The sequence below is a fragment of the Homo sapiens genome, chromosome 1 (assembly GCF_000001405.40).
Source record: "Homo sapiens chromosome 1, GRCh38.p14 Primary Assembly".
Lineage (NCBI taxonomy): Eukaryota > Metazoa > Chordata > Mammalia > Primates > Hominidae > Homo > Homo sapiens.
The window spans coordinates 233,374,768-233,395,294 of NC_000001.11; the positions used below are offsets into that span (position 1 = coordinate 233,374,768).

Sequence of the window (20,527 nt, forward strand, 5' to 3'; positions counted from 1 at the left end):
AATATTAAATATAATATAAACATTATGTATCATCTGTACCTCATTTTTATTATGGTCACAGAGTATTCCATTGTATATCATAATATTTCAAACTGTTTTTAGAACATCTAGTATGTTTCAGATATTTTTCCCCTAAGTGTGTAGTAATAATAGCAATTTTCCCCAGTGATTTCCAAATCCCTTTTTTTTGTTGAAACGGAGTCTTGCACTGTCACCTGGGCTGGAGTGTAGTGGCGCGATCTCGGATCACTGCAACTTCTGCCACCTGGGTTCAAGCAATTCTCCTGCCTCAGCCTCCTGAGTAGCTGGGATTACAGGCGCCCGCCACCATGCCCAGTTAATTTTTTTGTATTTTTAGTGGAGACCGGGTTTCACCATGTTGGCCAGGCTGGTCTCGAAGTCCTGACCTTGTGTTTTGCCCGCCTCGGCCTCCCAAACTGCTGGGATTACAGGCGTGAGCCATGGCGCCTGGCCCCAAATCACTTTCAAGTGCACTTAAATTAGAGGGACAGCATCTAAGTGTTTAGCAAAATGTGGATATTAAAGAGGAATATACATCGTCCTGTGAGGTAGTGAAAAAAGCAAGACATGGAAAACTGTTAAATATTTTCAAGTTTTAAAAGGCAACCGTAACCAAAGTGTTGTCATGACTGAGCAAAATTGTGATGACCAAAAAATAAAGAAAGAAATAAATTGTGACGACTTATGAAAAATTAGTTGAAATTACAATTTAAAAATATATGATGTTTGTGCCTCTAGGTCAAAACTTTAACTGATTTGGTTAAAAAATTAGAGTACTAAGTTCATTTTAAGTTACATGTTTAGTTTGGTGATTTCCCTCCCAATTACAATGAAATCCTAATTGTTGCAAAATGCTAAATAAATAGATTAAAAAGTAATCAAATCTTTGCTGCTAATTTACCTCGAATTTGTATCTTTTCTGTTAACTTACTCCATTTTTCTTGATGTTTTTATGATCAGAGAAAGAAACTTACCAGAGATTGGGTGAAATAAATAATTTTCTCATTGTTTTCATGTTTTGAGTAAGGTAGTTTCACAACTGATATGATTCATTTAGCTTTTTTAACAAAGCCAATATTGGTTAATATGATTGTTGTGGTTAATATGGTTAATAATGTTCTTTTTAGTGACTTCAGATGAAAGCAATAAAACTTGGGGAAGGAACACAGTCTTTCGACAAGAAGAATTTGAGGATGTAAAAAGGAATTTTAAGAAAAAAGGTTGTACCTGGGGACCAAATTCCATTCAAATGAAAGATAGAACAGATTGCAAAGAAAGGTACGTGTGTGGTATCTGGTGGTATTCATTGTGTAATATGACAAATCCATTCCTGTGTTAATATCACATCAGCCAGACTTTCAAAAAGCAAGTAAATTAATAGAGAGATTTATAAATATCAACAATTTTCTAGGATGAATTTATCATGCTAAATTAACTATTATTTAGTTAAGCAGTTAGAATATTTCTGAGATTTTTCCTGTCTCACTTTCAGGTATTATTTGTACTTTGTCAGCCCTTCAAAACTGAGTACAAATGTGTTCTCTTTACTACCTTAAAAATATTGTTGGTCTGTATCCACCAAAACCTAATTGGTGTGTTGTGTGCTTCTATCTTATGAAAAGAAACATTTTTCTCTTGTAGGATAAGACCTCTCTCCGATGGCAACAGTCCTTGGTCAACTATCTTAATAAAAAATCAGAAAACCATGCCCTTGGCTTCATTGTTTGTGGACCAGCCAGGTAAATGTGTTTCAGGAGGTAGGATTTGCTTGAGCAGTCCTTGGCATCTGATTGTGCTGAAGCTTTGCTTTTACAGTCTTACGTGGTCATTAAAGTAGCAGAGGGGAGATTAGCAAGTAATGGCATTTCTTATAGCTTTACTTAAATTCAGAAGTTATTTTCCGTCAAGTATTTATGGCAGGAAGTAATTAGGCTTCACGTGGTTTTGGGAATTTGTAACTCTTCTTCCTTACCAGAAACATTATTATCACAATTAATTATGTAAAACCAAATCAATTTAGTATGGGAAATATTAGATGTAAAAATATAGACCCCCCTGAAAGTTCTGCTGAGATTAAGGGGTATGGCTTCTTGCTATAGTGCCACCTGTTGACATGAGGAAATCCAATGAAACAGGTTAACTATGAAAAACACAAAAACTAGCCGGCATGGTGGTGCTTGCTTGTAATCCCAGCTACTCAGGAGGCTGAGGCAAGAGAATCACTTGCACCTGGGAGCCAGAGGTGGCAGTGAGCCAAGATTGTGCCACTGCATGCCAGCCTGGACAATAGAGTGAATGAGACTCTATCTCTAGATAAATAAATAAATAAATAAATAAGAAAAATGACTCCTTGGAGAGTTTTACACTGGAATTTCTATTTAATTTAAATGAATCATAATGATTTACTTTCAATATTCTATATTTGTATTCAGTATTCAGTATTAAAAGATTGAAGAGATGGAAATCGTTGAAAAACTTCAAGCACGGTTACTAACACAGAAAATAAAATTGGTCTTTATACTTGACCATTTAGGCAGACTCTTTGGTACTTTGATCAAATTAAAGATGCCTTAGCAAGACACAATGTAAATGTATTGAATTTGTTATTGGTACTGTGCTCAATTTCACAAGCACCTTTGCACTCACTACCTGGGTTCAGCTTCTCCTTCTGAAGGTTCTCCTTTATGAAGGAAAAGGGAGCTTGGGTCAGCAACGTCAGGGAGTGGAAGGAAAAAGAGGGTACCCCAAACAAAAGGCACCACAGGGAAGAGCACAGGGTTCTTTGGAGAAAGAAAGCTGGCACCCCAAATTGTCTACATCAGCAGTCCCCAACCTTTATGGCACCAGAGACCAGTTTCATGGAAGACAGTTTTTCCATGGACCAGTGGGGTAGGGATGGTTTCAGGATGATCCAAGCGCATTACATTTGTTGTGCACTTTATTATTATTACATTGTAATTCATAATGAAATAATTCTACAACTCACCATAATGTAGAATCAGTGGGAGCCCTGAGCTTGTTTTCCTACAACTAGATGGTCCCATCTGGGAGTGATGGGAGACAGCAACAGATCATCAGATCCTAGATTCTCATAAGGAGCAACCTAGATCCCTTGTATGTGCAGTTCACAATGGGGTTCATGCTCCTATGAGAATCTAATGCTTCTGCTGAACTGACACAGGGCGGAGCTCAGGTGGTAATGTGAGCAATGGGCACTGGCTGTAAATGCAAAAGAAGCTTCACTCGCCCACCTGCTGCTCACTTCCTGCTGTGCAGCCTGGTTCCTAACAGGCCACGGTATCAGTCCATGGCCTGGGGTTCAGGGACCCCTGGTCTAGATCATCAAGCATGTTTAGGTATACTAGGATGTAGTGTTGGAAAAAATTAGAGATGTTATTTGGAAATCAGATTAATGAGTTTGTTGTTTAATTATGCGCTGTCACTTTTGTGATAAGAATGTTAGCTTCCTCTTAAGCGGGTATAATTTGTAACCTTTGGGATTCTGTAACCTCTTGGGAGAATCTTCTATTTTAATGGTCCCCAAACTTCAGTAAAGGCTAGCTGAAACACAGACTGCTGGACTCCACTCTTCAGAATTTCTGATTCCATAGTCTGGGGTGGGCCAATAATTTACATTTCTACAAATTCCCAGGGGATGCAGATGCTGCCAGTCCAGGCCACACACTTTGAGAACTGCTGATCTGCTACAGAACAGTTAGTTTATACACAGGAAAGCTGTAGATAATGGAGCCTGATGCATGTATTTAGGTGAAGTGAGGAAAAGAGCACATTTGGTGACATATTTAGTGATTTTGTGCCTATGGTTGTGCGTTTTTGTGTTTTGATGACTGTTTCTACAATAGTGTCTATTATTGAAGCTGATGAAGAACAGCTTCCCGAAGCATAGGAAACAGCAGATGGCTAGCTTGCTGGTTCATCTGCAGGGAACCTGAAGTTGTAGGGCCCTAGACTCTTGCTCCATGGAGCCCTCCTGGATGAATCATTTGCAGAAATGAAAAGGGCTGCATGTGTTTTGATTTAAAATATGTATTTATTATATTTTAGCTTTATTTTACAATCTTGTTTAAATGACTTTTGCTGTAAAATGATACTACAGTGTATGTACTTATACCTTTATTTAGGGTCCTGTGAAGAGCCAAAACTTTCCCCTGATGGATTAGAACACAGAAAACCAAAACAAATAAAATTGCCTAGTCAGGCCTACATTGATCTACCTCTTGGGAAAGATGCTCAGAGAGAGAATCCTGCAGAAGCTGAAAGCTGGGAGGAGGCAGCCTCTGCGAATGCTGCCACAGTCTCCATTGAGATGACTCCTACGAATAGTCTGAGTAGATCCCCCCAGAGAAAGAAAACGGAGTCAGCTCTGTATGGGTGCACCGTCCTTCTGGCATCGGTGGCTCTGGGACTGGACCTCAGAGAGCTTCATAAAGCACAGGCTGCTGAAGAACCGTTGCCCAAGGAAGAGAAGAAGAAACGAGAGGGAATCTTCCAGCGGGCTTCCAAGTCCCGCAGAAGCGCCAGTCCTCCCACAAGCCTGCCATCCACCTGTGGGGAGGCCAGCAGCCCACCCTCCCTGCCACTGTCAAGTGCCCTGGGCATCCTCTCCACACCTTCTTTCTCCACAAAGTGCCTGCTGCAGATGGACAGTGAAGATCCACTGGTGGACAGTGCACCTGTCACTTGTGACTCTGAGATGCTCACTCCGGATTTTTGTCCCACTGCCCCAGGAAGTGGTCGTGAGCCAGCCCTCATGCCAAGACTTGACACTGATTGTAGTGTATCAAGAAACTTGCCGTCTTCCTTCCTACAGCAGACATGTGGGAATGTACCTTACTGTGCTTCTTCAAAACATAGACCGTCACATCACAGACGGACCATGTCTGATGGAAATCCGACCCCAAGTAGGTTGCATTAATTAGGTAAAAGCATAAAACACTGCTGTAGAGATTAGTATGTGAAACAGTATGGATTTATGATTTTATCTTTTCCTGGTGATGACATTTAATAATTTGTTTTTACTGTTCATGTAGATCTTTGAACCTTACCCTTCTCTTATTTGATTTTAACTATGATTTGGATTCTGGGAAAAGTGTAATTGAATTTCAGTAACTGAAACCTATAATAGCATATCAAAGCAGAAAGAACACATGGAGAATAACCACCCAGCCCCCTCACGTTACGGGAAAGACAAGCCAGCTGCCCCAGTTAGAACCACGGATGAGTGGGAGGGCTGGAACTGAAACTGGCCTCTCGCCTCCCTGCGGGCCTTGTCTCCTCCACTGCTGTACATGTCATTGTTCTGTTTCTGTTGGGACTGTGTGTAGCAGGTGATCAGCCTGCTAGGGCTGCCATAACAGAGTGCCACAGCATGGAGAGATGTTCAGCACAAACTCATTGTCCAGCAGTTCCAGAGGCTGGAAGTCAGATCAAGGTGTCTGAAGGGTTGGTTCCTTCTGAGCTCAGCCTGGCTCCTTGACTTCTAGACGGCCGTTTTCTCCCTGTGTTCTCACACAGTCTTCACTCTGAGTGCATCTGTGTCCTAATCATCTGTGTCCTAATCTCTTTTTAGGACATCAGTCACATTGGATTAGGGCCCACCCTAATGACCTCATTTTACCTTAATCACCTCTGTACAGACCCTATTCCACATACAGTGACATCTGAGGGACAGAGGGTTAGGGCTTCTGCTTAGGAATTTTGTGGGGACACAGTTCACCCCATGACAGCAAGTATTACCCTGTTGATGTATGTTATACCAGACAGTTCCATGAGGTTTATGTCCAGATGTGGAATCTCTGAAAGAAAAGAAAATCAAATTTTTAAATAGTTTTTTAGTCTATTCAACAAGAGGGGCTTGGGCAGAAGGCAACCAGTGGTATTTCCACAGCACTTTATAGATGTTAAAGCACTTGGACATAAATTGTCTCTTAGTTTTTATGGCAACTCTATTATATGCAAGAGAATTCAAACTTACGGAAAATTAATGTTATTCAAGGTCACACAATTAGGAAGTAGTGGTGTCAGAATTTAAACCCGGGATCCTTCTGCTGTATCACAGTGTCTCACTCCTCCTCACTGCGGTATTTTTTCCATTCCTAAAATTCAGTGAGTATTGATGTGACTGGATCATGCTATCATGTGCTAGAATGTACTCAGCTTTGAGATTTCTGGGGTTAAGTGGCACTGAAATACTGACATTTGAGGAGATAATATGGGTACTTTGGAAGAATGGGGGATTTTGAGTCATAGAACAAAGGTTCAAGTTCTAGTTGTACTATTTGGTAAGTTTGTGATGCTGGGGAAATTACGTAGACTGCTTTCTTGTTTGAATGTCTTAAAAAGCATTGTAGTGTCATGGTTAATAGTATGGAAGCTAGCTGGGCTCATATCTCTGCTTATATGCTGAGTGAATTTGGGCGAATCACTTAAACATTTTGTGCCTCAGTTTCTTCATCTATAAAATGGGGACAGTAACAATATACATACCTAATACTATACTTACCTAATCTGTACAATTGAGATCGTGGTAAAAGTCAGATGGCACACTAAGTGCTCTGTAGAGCTTGAGTATTATTTATTTTGTATGTGAACATAATTGCAATAACCTTATATACCTGTCATGAATATTAAGTGAGGTAATATATACAAAAAATGCTTTCTAAATTGTAAAATGCTATGCTAGCATTGGTTATAAAGCTATATTAAGACAAACTGCTTTCATCCTTTTTATCTTTTCCTTTACTTCTTTTTAAATATTATATCTGGATATGATATTTTCTATATTATTGTTCATTGCCTTTAGATAAATTGGTTTATTATCTTTCTGTAGGTCAATAAGTATTGGTAATTTATAATTGCACAAGGAGAAATTCTAGCACAGTAATCCCATATGAAAGCATATTTTTCTCTAACTTATAAGCCAATAATTATTTGCTAAAGTGGTAATAACATTATTCAGTTCTTCAGTACAAACAAGAAAAGAGGTGACGTGTAAAAGTCTAACTGCTTTTCCATTTTCATCAGTTTTGTCAAATCATAATCTACAGTGAAGTTTAATCATGTTGACCATCATTTTTAAACCTCTTAAATTTATTCCAGTCTAGTCCATTTTGAAAGCTACCGTTATAATATCATTATAATGACTCATAATTTTTATTGGCCTAAGCACTGTGAGGATTATTTAGCTCTGTTTACAAATATAATTTCCATAGGTTGAAGTACTCTTTGCAAACTTGCAGGACTTCAGCCAGGTGTGGTGGCACATGCCTGTGGTCCCAGCTACTCTAGAGGCTAAGGCAGAGTTCCTTGGTCCTTAAGGCCAAGAGTTCGAGGCTGCAGTGTGCTATGATCATGCCTGTGAATGCATGTTTTTTGTTGAAGCTCATTTTAAAGCTATCACTTTGTTGAATTGCCATCATAATTATTTTTCTTGATATTCATTGTTTTAGAACTCATTTTCTTTCTAACTGCATACTGTTTTGGCTTTCTCAACCAGCTGGTGCAACTATTATCTCAGCCACTGGAGCCTCTGCACTGCCACTCTGCCCCTCACCTGCTCCTCACAGTCATCTGCCAAGGGAGGTCTCACCCAAGAAGCACAGCACTGTCCACATCGTGCCTCAGCGTCGCCCTGCCTCCCTGAGAAGCCGCTCAGATCTGCCTCAGGCTTACCCACAGACAGCAGTGTCTCAGCTGGCACAGACTGCCTGTGTAGTGGGTCGCCCAGGACCACATCCCACCCAATTCCTCGCTGCCAAGGAGAGAACTAAATCCCATGTGCCTTCATTACTGGATGCTGACGTGGAAGGTCAGAGCAGGGACTACACTGTGCCACTGTGCAGAATGAGGAGCAAAACCAGCCGGCCATCTATATATGAACTGGAGAAAGAATTCCTGTCTTAAACTAAGTGCCTTACTGTTGTTTAAGCATTTTTTTAAGGTGAACAAATGAACACAATGTATCTACCTTTGAACTGTTTCATGCTGCTGTGTTTTCAAAAGCTGTGGCCATGTTCCTAAATTAGTAAGATATATCCAGCTTCTCAAAAAATGTATATGATTGCTGTTAGCCATGTCTATTGTTTTTCCTCTGGATTCTTTTCTTATAACTTGGAATACACAAAAGTGTAAAACAAGAGATGTGCACCAATGAAAACTATGCTGGGTCGAATTACCTTCAGCACAATGTTAATGTTTTTGTTCTCATTTATGCCTTTGTCCATTTGCACACAACAGAAATTGTAATGAGCTTCACTATTTTTGTTTCTTTCCTTCCTTTTTTTTCTTTTTTCCTTTCTTTCCTTTTTCTTGTCTTGTTTCTTGTTTTTTTTTCTTGTAGTTTCTTTTCTTAATTGTCATTTTTGCAACAAAAAGCCAAGAAAGAGCTTTAGTTTCTTGGCAAGAATAATGTGATATTAGTAAGTAAAGGTCTTAAAAGTCTGACGACTGGAATAGATATAAAGTCCTGTTTAAACTACCTAACCTTGGCTGTGGGCCGATAATGCATATGTCCAGTTCTCACTTAAATTATGCAATGATATTTCTCTCTGAGGAAATTATACGGAATGTAACTTATAAAAGCTTTACTGAATATAAGTTATAAGCATTTTATTCATTAGAACTCCAAAATAGATGTTCAAAGTTCAGTCCTTGCCATTTGACTGAGACCACATGGTGTGCCCCTTGAGTGAGGCTAATCTTTAGGTTTTTCCTATAGAAAACATTCTTCCTCCATCAGTAGCCCTTTATTTGATATTCAGAAGTGGAAAGCTTTTTCATTCTCCAGTAGAACTTTTAAAAATTGTTACAGATACCTAGCTCTTCACAGATATCATGTACTGTAAACAGTCATGTGTCTTAATTTTATTTTCTCTATTTGAGTGCATAATTATCCTAATAATCCCAAAGACACTGACAACTCAAGGAACAGCAGTACAGTACTATTAGAAGTTAAGTATGTTGTTGTTATTTCACATTTCATTTAATTGTGGATAAATGTTAGACATCTGTTGAAATAAGCTCATATGGTGGAAACGACAACTATATTATGAATTATTTTCAGAAATGGATCTTTGAATAGCAGATCAGGATTTAAATAATAAAATTATCTATGAATCACTTTTATGGTCATACATATATGATACAAATCCAGAGTTATTGGTGCAGAAATGGCTACCCGAGAGCTTGGTAAATTTGCCTTGGTTTCTTATGTTAAATGTATTGTGCTTCCCTTCTGTCTCTAGAATGTGGCTCTTCAGAAGACAGACAATCGACATTTAAATTTTTCCAAACAATGAAAAACTAAATTAAAAACATTGCTTGATATTTCATTTAAAATTGCACCTTGCTTAAGGTTTACTGAATAACTGAAATGTCAGCAATTTAAAATAAATTCAATTGTGTGATAAAATATCTCACCTATAATAGAAGAAAAGGAAAATCATATTATTTGGCAATTTTGCAGCATTGTGGTTGCCTAACAGGTATATCCAGCAGATGAGAAACAGTATGAAAGGATTGTATTAACATGGTAAGTTTTGCCCTAAGGAAAACGATCTTGCATTCTGGATTCTTGCAGCAAAGTCTCAGATACTTAATACGTTTTCTTGTTTTATCATCTGTTCTATGATTCGGCTTCACTTTGTGTGGTTATTGAATTATGTAACAGAGATTTGGTTTTCCCAAAATGTTATCACATTTGAAACTATGATTGCTTTGTGTTCAGTCCTTTTGGAACACGTAGCTTCCAGCTTAAGGGTAGAGAAATATATACCTAAAATCATCAATACATGAAAGAAAAAGGATGGAAACTATGTCCTCAGTTTTACTTCTACCAAAACATCCCTGTATGTGTGTGCATGTATGTTGGCGTGTGTGTGTGTGCATGCATATTAGTAAATGTGTGTTTGCATGTGTGTGTTGGGGAGTGTATGTGATCTGGGTGTTTGTTTATCTCTGTTATTATTCCCCTTTAGCTTTATTTTAGTCAACTCTACATTATGATGAATTTCAAAATGAAGCTGTATTAAAATAATTGTAATATAACAATTCAATCTCACATGTTACTGCAGATAGTTAACTTTTGCTGCAATCTATTGTACATTTGCAATTTTCTGTGTTAGTAAACTTAGCAGAATCTGGTTATTTATTTTTGTGTAGGCTTAATGTTCACTGAAAGATAAGTCAATTACTGTTAGTAAAAAATTAAGGTACTCTCACTGCAGAGATTTAAGGCCTGGGCCTAATGTGCTGTATTATGAAGCCTTGTGACTGAAAAATATGTTTACATATGTTGTCTATTTTTTTAATAAACTTTTATAGCTGGTCTATTTGCTCAGTAGCTTTGATCCTCTCTTGATTATTGTGACTATAGTTTGCAATGGTTTATTTTGTATTCAATAAGAAAAATTGTGTTAATAAAGATTATTGTTTAATAAGCCAGGTATTAACCTGCTAAATATATTAAACTGAAAATCACTAAATGAGTCATTCAATTAAATACATCAAAAAAGGTAGAATGAAATGTTTTATTTCAAATTTTTTTGGTTTACATATGCATTGAAAAGTTATATTTCATGGTGAGCGTTTTGCAAGTCCAGCTTTTCAGAAGACACACTTTTGCAGAGTGAAATGAGTATGAGAAAAAAATCTCAGTGATTAAGGAGACATGTTGATTTTATTGTTTAATTTTATGTTTAAATCAGAGGAATTTCAAACACCACTTAACATGTAGAAATTCTTACTAAGTGATAAAAGCTTGAGTGAATGAGGAAAGCAGATCGCAGGACTTCATGGAGATCATAGCATTACCCCACCACATGGGAGGGAGCAAAACGTAATGTGCATTGAATATCTGTTAAGTATGGGGAACCCTCCTAGGTGCCTATAGAAGACAACTCCTGTAATTCTCTTTAATAAAAATTGTGAGAGAAAGCCAGGCATGGTGGCTCACGCCTGTAATCCCAGCACTTTGGGAACCTGAGGTGGGCGGATCAAGAGGTCAAGAGATCGAGACCATCCTGGCCAACATGGTGAAACCCCTTCTTTACTAAAAATACAAAAAATTAGTCTGGCATGATGGTGCCCGCCTGTAATCCAAGTTACTCAGGAGGCTGAGGCAGAAGAATTGCTTGAATCTGGGAGGCAGAGGTTGCAGTCAGCCGGGATCGCACCATTGCACTCCAGCCTGGTGACAGAGTGAGACTTAATCTCAAAAAAAAAAAAAAAAAAAAACAAACTGTGAGATAAGTAATACTACTCCTATCGCATTAGATATGAAACAGACACAGAAAGGTTTGGTAAATTTCCAAAGACCCAGTCTGAGTCAAGTGATCACCATCTACCTGTTCACACCTGTGGTTAATAGTTGTAAGCATGGTGTAGAAGATGAGGACATCTTGCAAATGAGCTTTGTAAATGTTATCTAAAGCTAAGGTAGTTTCTCTCTCATCAAAAAGTCAAAAGTCTAAAAATGTATGAGTACCATTGAAGTTAAATAAGATATAGAGATAAATATTGAAATTTGAAACATTTTATTTAGGAAGCAAGAATTGCAATTCAGGACATACACAGAGACCAGGTGATCTTCAGTATGTCCAAAGAACAAAGAGACAGGAGTTTTATTAAAGAATTGTTACATATTGTTTTGAAAGAAAGCTCATTGGCACTAGAGAAGCTTTTGGACTCTGGCAAGCTCTGGTTGGTGAGTCATGGCAGGAATTAAAACAAGTCTTAGAGTCACAAATTGTTGCTTCAGCAGCTACCAGGTAAAACTGGCCCTGGGGTGACAGCAGGCCATTTCAGCAGCTGGGCTTGGAGAAAATACATTCGTGGAGTAGGTGCTATGTCCCCCACGTATGTTTTCCTCTCTGGCCCCTCAGTTCTGATTTAACTGAGTATGTATGACAAGAATTGCCCAATTTGTATTATTAACTTTCACAGTACTTATTTAAAAATAAAACACTATTAGCTAATAACACTTAATACAATGGAAAATGCAATAGAAAGGAGTAAAATATGCATATCTGATAGATCAACTCAGAGAAATGAGGTATTCTGTTCAATAGGTTCATAAATGCCATGGTCTGAATATGTCCCTCAAAATTCCTATGTTGAAATCGTAACCATCAAAGTTTTGGAATTAAGAGGTGGGAGGTAATTAGATCATGAATTCTCATGAATGGGGTTAATGCTGTTTTAAAAGAGGCCTGAAGGAAGCTGTTATCCCTTTACACCATGTGAGGACACAGTGAGAAACTGCTATATATACACTAGGAAACAGGCCCACAGCAGACACAGAGTCTGCCAGCACCATCATCTTGGACTTCCCAGCCTCCAGAACTGTGAGCAACAAATGTGTGTTGTTTAGAAGCCACCTACTTTATGTTATTTTGTTATAACAGCCCAGATGGACTAAGACAATAAATATGGTGAAATTATGTAAGAACTGCAATATACACATAAAATAATTTAATTGGGCTTAAGCTGTCTCTATTCTTTACTTCTGCAAAGATCAACATGCTGAAACATAGTGAAAGATGAAGTATTTGTGAATGAAACAATGTAATCGGTACCAGAGAGTGGAACAAAAACTAGCTATTGTTTGTGGTGGCAGGCGCCTGTAGTCCCAGCTACTCGGGAGGCTGAGGCAGGAGAATGGCATGAACCCAGGAGGTGGAGCTCGCAGTGAGCCGAGATTGTGCCACTGCACTCCAGCCTGGGCAACAGAGCAAGACTCCATCTCAAAAACAAACAACAAACAAACAACAACAACAACAAAACTAGCTATTGTTTTTACAACCAAGCAAAATATAGCAGGTCCACACATAACATTTTTTCATTCAATGTCATTCTGTTATAATATTAACGAGGAAAAAAATTTGATTCCCAGCCAGGGCTGCTGTCTGTGGGGTGTGCACTTTCTCCCCATGTCTGCGTGGGTTTTCTCCAGGGACTCTGGTTTCCTCCCACATCCCAAAGACATGCATGCCAGGTTAACTGGTGTGTCTCAATTGTCTGAGTGTGAGAGTGTGGGTGTGTGAGTGTGCCCTGCCATAGAATGGGGTTGATTCCCACCTTGTGCCTTGAGCTGCTGGGATGGGCTCTGGCCACCTGCGACCCTGAACCAGAATCACTGGGTATATAATTACCTTAAATTGTTTTCATTAATCTTAGATGTATGTATAGATAACATTTATTTCAATGTTTAGTGTTAGAAGTGTTTGGGGTCTTTATTTAGCGATTTAGTGGTGTTTTCGTGACCAGAAATATGCCCTAGGAACTTAACTGCTGTTTTTATTAATTCACCTGTAGTGAAATTGGTTTTGTGTTACCTTGTTTTGCTTAAAGTCACAGTTTCCAAATACCTATAGACAATGTTAAGTGAGGACTTCCTGTAAGTAGTTTAGATTGAGGAGCTTCCACACACTGACAAACTCGTTTAGTGGCTACTGTGTTAGGCACCACGAAAGAGACACCAGATGTAGCGGAGAGCAAGGAAGATGAGGCTTGTCCCCTGCCTGGATGGTTTTAATGAGAAACTGTGCTCAGGGCAACTGCATGGACATCATGTGACTTGTGCAGTCACACAGAGCCTCACACTCAGATGGTCCCTGAGCCTGACTTTCATGCTCTGTGAACATCATCTTGAAATTCTTAATAATTTTTAAAGAGGGAGCCCTCATTTTTATCTTTCACAGGGCCTCACAAGCTATGCGGCCAATTCTGACAACAAGCGAAGGGAGTGTTAAAAAAAGGTGAAGTCACTGGGGCTTTGATAGCATTAAAGGAGTTCATCTAATCTTGGGTGGGTGGGAGGTGTCAGGGAAGTGTCTGAGGAAGCCAGGATGTCCACTGGATGAGGAATGCTCCATGCAGAGTTGCTAGCTTGTGAAAAGTCCTAAGTCATTTTTCTTGTGCTGCATTCCATATTTTCTCTTTGTTTTTGGCTCTTAGCATTTTTGCCATGACACATCTAGTTATGGATCTCTTTGCATATATACTTCTTGGAGTTTGTTGAATTTCTTGAATGTGTAGATCCATGTTTTCAGCACATTTGAGAAGTTTTCAGCCATTATATCTTCAAATATTTTTTTCTTCTTCTTTTCCTCTCTTCTTCTGCTACTCCCATTACACATGCTGGTGTACCTAGTGAATCCAGCATTTGTCTGTGGCTCTGCTTATTTTCATTCATTCTTTTTTTTCCAGATTATATGATCTGTATTGATCTGTCTTCAAACTCTGATTCTTGAGTTCAAATTTAGTGTCAAAACATTAGTAAATTTTTCATTTGGGCTATTACATTTTCACCTCCATGATTTCCATATGGTTCTTTTTTTATCTCTGTGTTGGTATTTCTCTATTTGATGAGACATTGTCACCAGACCTTCCTGTACTTCTTTAAACATGTTTTCCTCTAGTAAATTGAACAATTGATAATGGCTGCTTGGAAGTCTTTGCTATTAAATCTGAAATCTGGGCCCTCTCACAAGCTATTTGTTTGCTTTTTCTCCTGGTGTATGGGTTATGCTTTCCTGTTTCTTTGTATGACTCACATTTTTTTGCTGAAAACTGAACAGTTTAGGTAATTGTGATATTGTGAAATATATATTTGTTCCTCATCCCTGTCTCCCTGCATACAACTTTTAAAATCCTTGCAGTCTCCAAAATGTTAACTGCCTTTTTGTATGCTAATGAGTTGACTAGCGGCTGTCAGCCCCTAGATGGCTTCAAGATGGGGCTGGTCACTGGAAAGACCAAGGCATGATTAGAGGGTTGAGGCTTTCAGCCTCAACTAGTGCTGAAGGTTAAGTTGGTTGCCAGTGGTCAATGATTTAATCAATTATGCCTATGTAATGAAGCCTCCTTATAATCCCAAAAGGACAGAGTTTGGGAGCTTCCAGAAAGCTGAACTTGTGGAGGTTTCTGGAGGGTGACAAACCCAGGGAGAGCATGGAAGCTCCACAAGCCTCCCCCCTGACCTCCCCTTAAACATGTCTTCATCTCTCTCTTTTGTAATATCCTTTACAGTAAACAAAAAGTGTTTTTCTAAGCTCTGTGAGCAGCTCTAGCAAATTAATTGAACCCAAGGAGGAGGTCCTGGGAACCCTGATTTATAGCTCCTAGGTCAGAAGCACAGGTGAAAAAAACCCTGGGGCTTGCTATTGGCACCAAAATTAGAGAGCAATGTTGTGAGACTGAGCCCTCAACCTATGGGATCTGATGATAGGTATGATAGACTGAGCCCTCAACCTATGGGATCTGATCTCCAAGTAGATAGTGGCAGAATTGGGTTGAATTAGAGGACACACATCTGGTGTCTGCTGCAGAAATGATTACTTGCTTGATGTGTCAGAAAATCCCCCCAAGCTCCATCTGGTGTCAGAAGCATGTTGTGAGTGCACAGTAGGAAAAATTGAATTTCTTTCTTCAATTCAGTAATACAGTTGACCCTTGAACAACAGAAGTTTGAACTGCGTGGGTCCATTTTAGCTCAGATAGTTTTCAGTAAAGGTTATACCTAGTGCACCTGCCTCTCCGTCCTCCCCTTCCACCTCCTCCACCTCTTCCGCCTCTGCCACCTCTGACACAGCAAGACCAACTGCTCCTCTTGCTCCTCCTTTCCAGCCTATTCAACATGAAGACTATAAGGATGAAGACCTTTATGATGATCTACTGCCACTTAATGAATAGTAAAGACATTTTCTCTGCCTTATGATTTTCTTAATAACATTTTCCTCTAGCTTACTTTATTGTAAGAATATAGTATAAGATACATATAACATACACAATATGTGTTAATTGACTTTTTACACTATCAATAAGGCTTCCAGTCAACAGTAGGCTATTAGTAGTTAAGTTTTTGAGAAGCCAAAAGTCTTGTGTGGATTTTCAAGAGTGTTGGGTATTGCTGCTCCTAACCTTCATGTTATTCAAGGGTCAACTGTATAATGTAGCAGCTGTGGATACTAATTCCCTTCACCCTCTCTCCAGGTCTTGTTTTTGTTGCTGTTTGCTCATTTGTATGGTGATTTGTTAGACTATTTTAGAGAAATCTATTTCCTTCACCAAGTGAAGCCTTTGAAGCCTTTGGTGTCACACCTTAGAAGGTTCAGGCTTGGCCTTGCACACAACCCCCTGGGATGACATGGTTTTAGCACAGCTCTCTTTAACTGTCTCTTTCCGTGATCTCTCTGATAAGCTGTCTGCTTCATTTGACATCACACCAAGTAATTGCTGGCTGATTGCTCTATTATTTTTGCTTATGCCCTGGGGCATATCTTGCTCCACAGTCTACTCCAATTAATTTCAGGCAGGGGTAGTTTTGGGACTATCTTTAAGGCTTGTTCTGACCCAGGAGGGGTCCTGTTAACTTTCTTTTTTCACAATTCTCTCTGATAAACTCCATGGCCTATGGTTTAGCTTGTTGCTCTTAATGAACAGCATGGTTTTTGAGACTGTTCTGAGGCTTGCACGTCACCACACTTTCACATAAAATCAGTTCCTTTGGTGACATCTTTGGAACTCTCTGTTCCTGTGAAATATCTTTCCCTCTGGCCAAAATATTTGAGCCATATGTTGAGTGTTGGGTGGGATGGCAACTTCTAATCTTCTTGGCTTGCCTCTCCCAGAGTGGAATCTCTGCTCTCCAAGTGAGCTCATGTGAGGACAGTTGGGAAACCAGGATTCTTCCTGGGATAGAGCCTCCACCCTGTGAGTAGAGCCTGGATGGAGGAAAGGAGACTTTGACCTCTTGGTCACACTCACCAGAAATTTAGCCTCTTAAATGTGGAGTTGGAAGAGATAAGAAATGCTAGTGTCCTGTGTCACCCAGTGAAATACCATATCCCATGGTTGCGAGCTGAGGGAACAGCTTTGTCTTTTTGTCCAAATCTGTCTGGAGTGGAGTTTCTGCCAAGCTGAGTTGGGATTGGGGGTGGGGATGTAGTGAGGAAGATTGCAAGGATTTCAGGAGTTGTATGCAGGGAGACAGGGAGTAGAACATAGCTCAAATGTCATGGACTCTTGCTGTTTTTACCAAGATTTAGTAGGTTTAAAAAATAAATAAATAAAGATGGCTTCTTTTGCTATATGTGCTTAAGACAATTTCCAGACGCTTTAAATGTGTTTGTTTTCCAAATAGTTTTTTTTCTTCTTAACGAGTTATGCTTGTTTCCCAGGAGACTGGGTTCAGAGCTCCTCACACTGCCATCTTGTAAGTTGGTAATATTTCACAAAGCTGATCACAAATCCTTTTTGAAGTTTTTCTTTCTGATTGGCCCATGTTAACATCACACATCTAAATTCACATTTTTTATCCCATAGGCTTTAAATACATTTTTTCCCCCAAATTTCTGTCTCTCGACCCATCCTATTCTTAGAACTCCACTTGTATATATCCTGCTGCTTAGCCGTTGCCTCTTCTTGGATGTCTAAAAGACATCTCAACTGGACACAGCCCAGATGAAGTTCTGGATTCACTCCCACCAGTGAATTTTCTCTTCCTTCAGTCTTTTTAGTAAAGAGCAACAGCATCTGGAAATTACAGGTCTCCCTTTACCAAGTCACTCTGAAGTTGCAATATCATGAATGTATTGGTATCATTAAGAGTTATTCAGTAAGTTTTTGAAGAATGAATGAATGAATTATTCCCATTTTATAGATGATGAAATGGAAGCTTAGAGAGATCAAATAAATTGCTGGATTTGAATCCAGCCTGAGAAGCAATTATTATTATTATTTTCTTCCTCTTATCCTTCTTCTTCTTCTTCTTCTCCTCCTCCTCCTCCTCCTCCTCCTCCTCCTTCTTCTTTCTTCTTCTTCTCCTTCTCCTTCCCCTTCCCCTTTTCCTTTTCCTTCTCCTTCAGGGGTTCAAGACCAGCCTGGCCAACATGGTGAAACCCTGTCCCTACTAAAAAATATATATATACAAAAAATTAGCTGGTGTAGTGGCGGGCCTCTGTAATCCCAGCTACTCAGGAGGCTGAGGCAGAGAGCTGCTTGAACCTGGGAGGTGGAAGTTGCAGTAAGCCAAGATCATGCCACTGCACTCCACCCTGCGTGACAGAGCGTGACTCTGTGTCAAAAAAAAAAAAAAAAAAAGGAAGGAAGGAAGGAGAAAGAAAGAGAAAGAAAGAAAGAAACAAACAAAGAAAGAAACAAAGAAAGAAAGAAAGGAAGAAAACAAAGAAGGAGAGAAATTAGCTCACATGTTTGTGGAGCCTGGCAAGTGTGAATTGTGCAGGGCAGGGCAGTAGGCTGCAGACCCAGAGAAGAGCTGCTGTTGCAGATAGAGTCCGAAGGCAGTCTGGAGGTGAGAGATCCAAGATCAACAAGATCAAGGTGTCTGCAGAGCTGGTTTCTCCTGAGGCCTTTCTCCCTGTCTTGTACTGTGTCCTAATATAGTTTTCCCTCTCTATGTGTCTGTGTCTACATTTACTCTTATGAGGTAATTAAGGTAAAATGAAGTCATATCAGCCCACCCATATGACCTCATTTTTCCTTATCGCCTCTGTAAAGGCCCTATCTCCAAATACAGTCCCATTCTGAGGGGCTGGGAATTAGAACTTCAACAGATAAATTTGAGGGGTACAAAACTTAGTCCATAAAAAACAACGCAGCCCATAACAGAGTGCCATATATTTAGTATGTCAAGTAGATCTGAGAAGGGAAAACTGGAGCCATTGAGGAAAAGATTTTTTTTTTAATCAGCTTTTCTAGCAAGAATAAAGAGGACTGGGGTATGTGAGAGGAACCGCTCAATCTCCAAACAGCACAACTGGCTGTGGAAAGCAAAGAACAAGAGGTTCATTAGGGCAGAATGCTGAGTCAGCTGGGAGATTCTGGGCCACCCACAGGAAAGGAAACATGAGGAGATTGGTGCTCGGTTTTGGACAGGCAACGTCTGCAGTTCTGAATGGTGGAAAAAGTTACAGGTATCCAACGAGCAAATTCCAGGTGGAGCTGGAATTTGAGACAGAAGTCGGACTTGGACAGAGATTCTGGAGTCATCGGAATTTTGGTGATCGTTGAAGATGTTAAATAGCTCAGGGAAAGAATGTAAAGAGAAAAACACTGAGGAAAGCTCTTTTGGAAAGAGTAAAAAGAACCAGAGGAGATGCAAAGAGGAATGATAACTTGTGGGTAAGAAAGACTCAGAAAGTAGAAAGCAGTGAAGATCACATCAAACTTCTCAAATACTTTTCTTAATTCATAGCAAAAATTTTTGGGCTAATATTATCTAAGAATTATGCCACTCCCTGGAGCTATCAGCACTTAATGTCCCCGCTAAGTGGAAGTGGGAAGAGAAGCTAGGTGTGCATCGGGTTTATTAAAAGCAGCAGCCCTATGGAGCTCCACCTACCTACAAAATCCCAAGGGGGCAATGTCAATCCAGAAATATGACACCATGATTTAGATCATGCTATCACTCCTTACTTTTTCTCCTTCCTGTTCTTTTCTCAAGTGTACAGAGAGAGCGAGCATACTGCACACACCATATTTAAAATTCCCCATTCCCCAAAACTATAGGTCAGAGAACCAATATTTTATTTGATCATCATTTGACCTCAGACATAGTGATTAATTTTCCAGGCCTCAGTGGCCACCTTGCCCCACCCCATCTGCTGCCTACAGATGGCTGCAGGATCTCTGTCAGCAATGTCATGTCCCTCCTGGTGTTAGTCTAGCCTGGCAGTAGTTGCTTAGTAGCAAGAGATACTGCTATGTCACATCTATAAAAATAGCCAAAATCTGGACTACTGACAAGGACCCAGGAGTTACAATTTTATCACTCTAAATGTCAAAAAGCCAGAACATATTCTAATATACCCTCTCCAAAAAGTTTTAGTGTATTCTATTAAGAAATGTTTTCTACAGAAAATACAAATTTAAATGTATTGCATAAATCTATAGGAAAATGTTATTTGTTTGAAAAAAAGATTCTGTCAAAAGACCAATAAGTTTTTTTACTTACATTTGATCATGTGAGCCATAGTGACCCATGGTTGTGTAAAAACTGGAAAAATGTGTAGGTCTTATTGCTTAACAGGTATTGAATTTTTCAAATAGCCAAGTCTTTTTCTCTGAAACAGGTAGGCATTTATAGAACGGCAAACATGATTTCGTGAATTTGGTAATAATTGTTCCTCCCATCTCTTTATCACCCAAACTCAACATATCTGTTTGCAAACATGAAAGACTCCTGTGGAACCCTTTGGGCTGGGTTTCTGCTGTCTTCTTTCTGATCACTAGATGGCACTCCATTCATATTACTTCACAGACAAGGAAGCCCAACACAGTGGATTATTTGAATTGCAGCCGAATTTATAGCCTTAGAAGAAAAGAGCATAATAACAGTGGAAGTGATTTAGAAAGATACTGGAAAGATGAGGGGAGCAAAGGAAGTGGTTTTTCAGTAATATTTACACAGAAACAACAGGGAGGTGTTTATAAACGTATCTTTTCTGTACATCTGTTCTGAGTAGGG

General features: G+C 39.4%; 1 protein-coding gene across 1 annotated transcript in view; it reads left to right on the forward strand.

The window, feature by feature from the left end:
• Positions 1-10,381, forward strand: part of MAP3K21 (mitogen-activated protein kinase kinase kinase 21) — a 57,425-nt gene extending 47,044 nt beyond the window's left edge. The window contains exons 7-10 of the mRNA NM_032435.3: positions 1,149-1,299; positions 1,663-1,760; positions 4,164-4,943; positions 7,538-10,381. Coding sequence (NP_115811.2) covers positions 1,149-1,299; positions 1,663-1,760; positions 4,164-4,943; positions 7,538-7,944 — 1,436 coding nt within the window. The 3' untranslated portion in view covers positions 7,945-10,381. The remainder of the gene's footprint in view (positions 1-1,148; positions 1,300-1,662; positions 1,761-4,163; positions 4,944-7,537) is intronic.
• Positions 10,382-20,527: the final 10,146 nt, after the last annotated feature.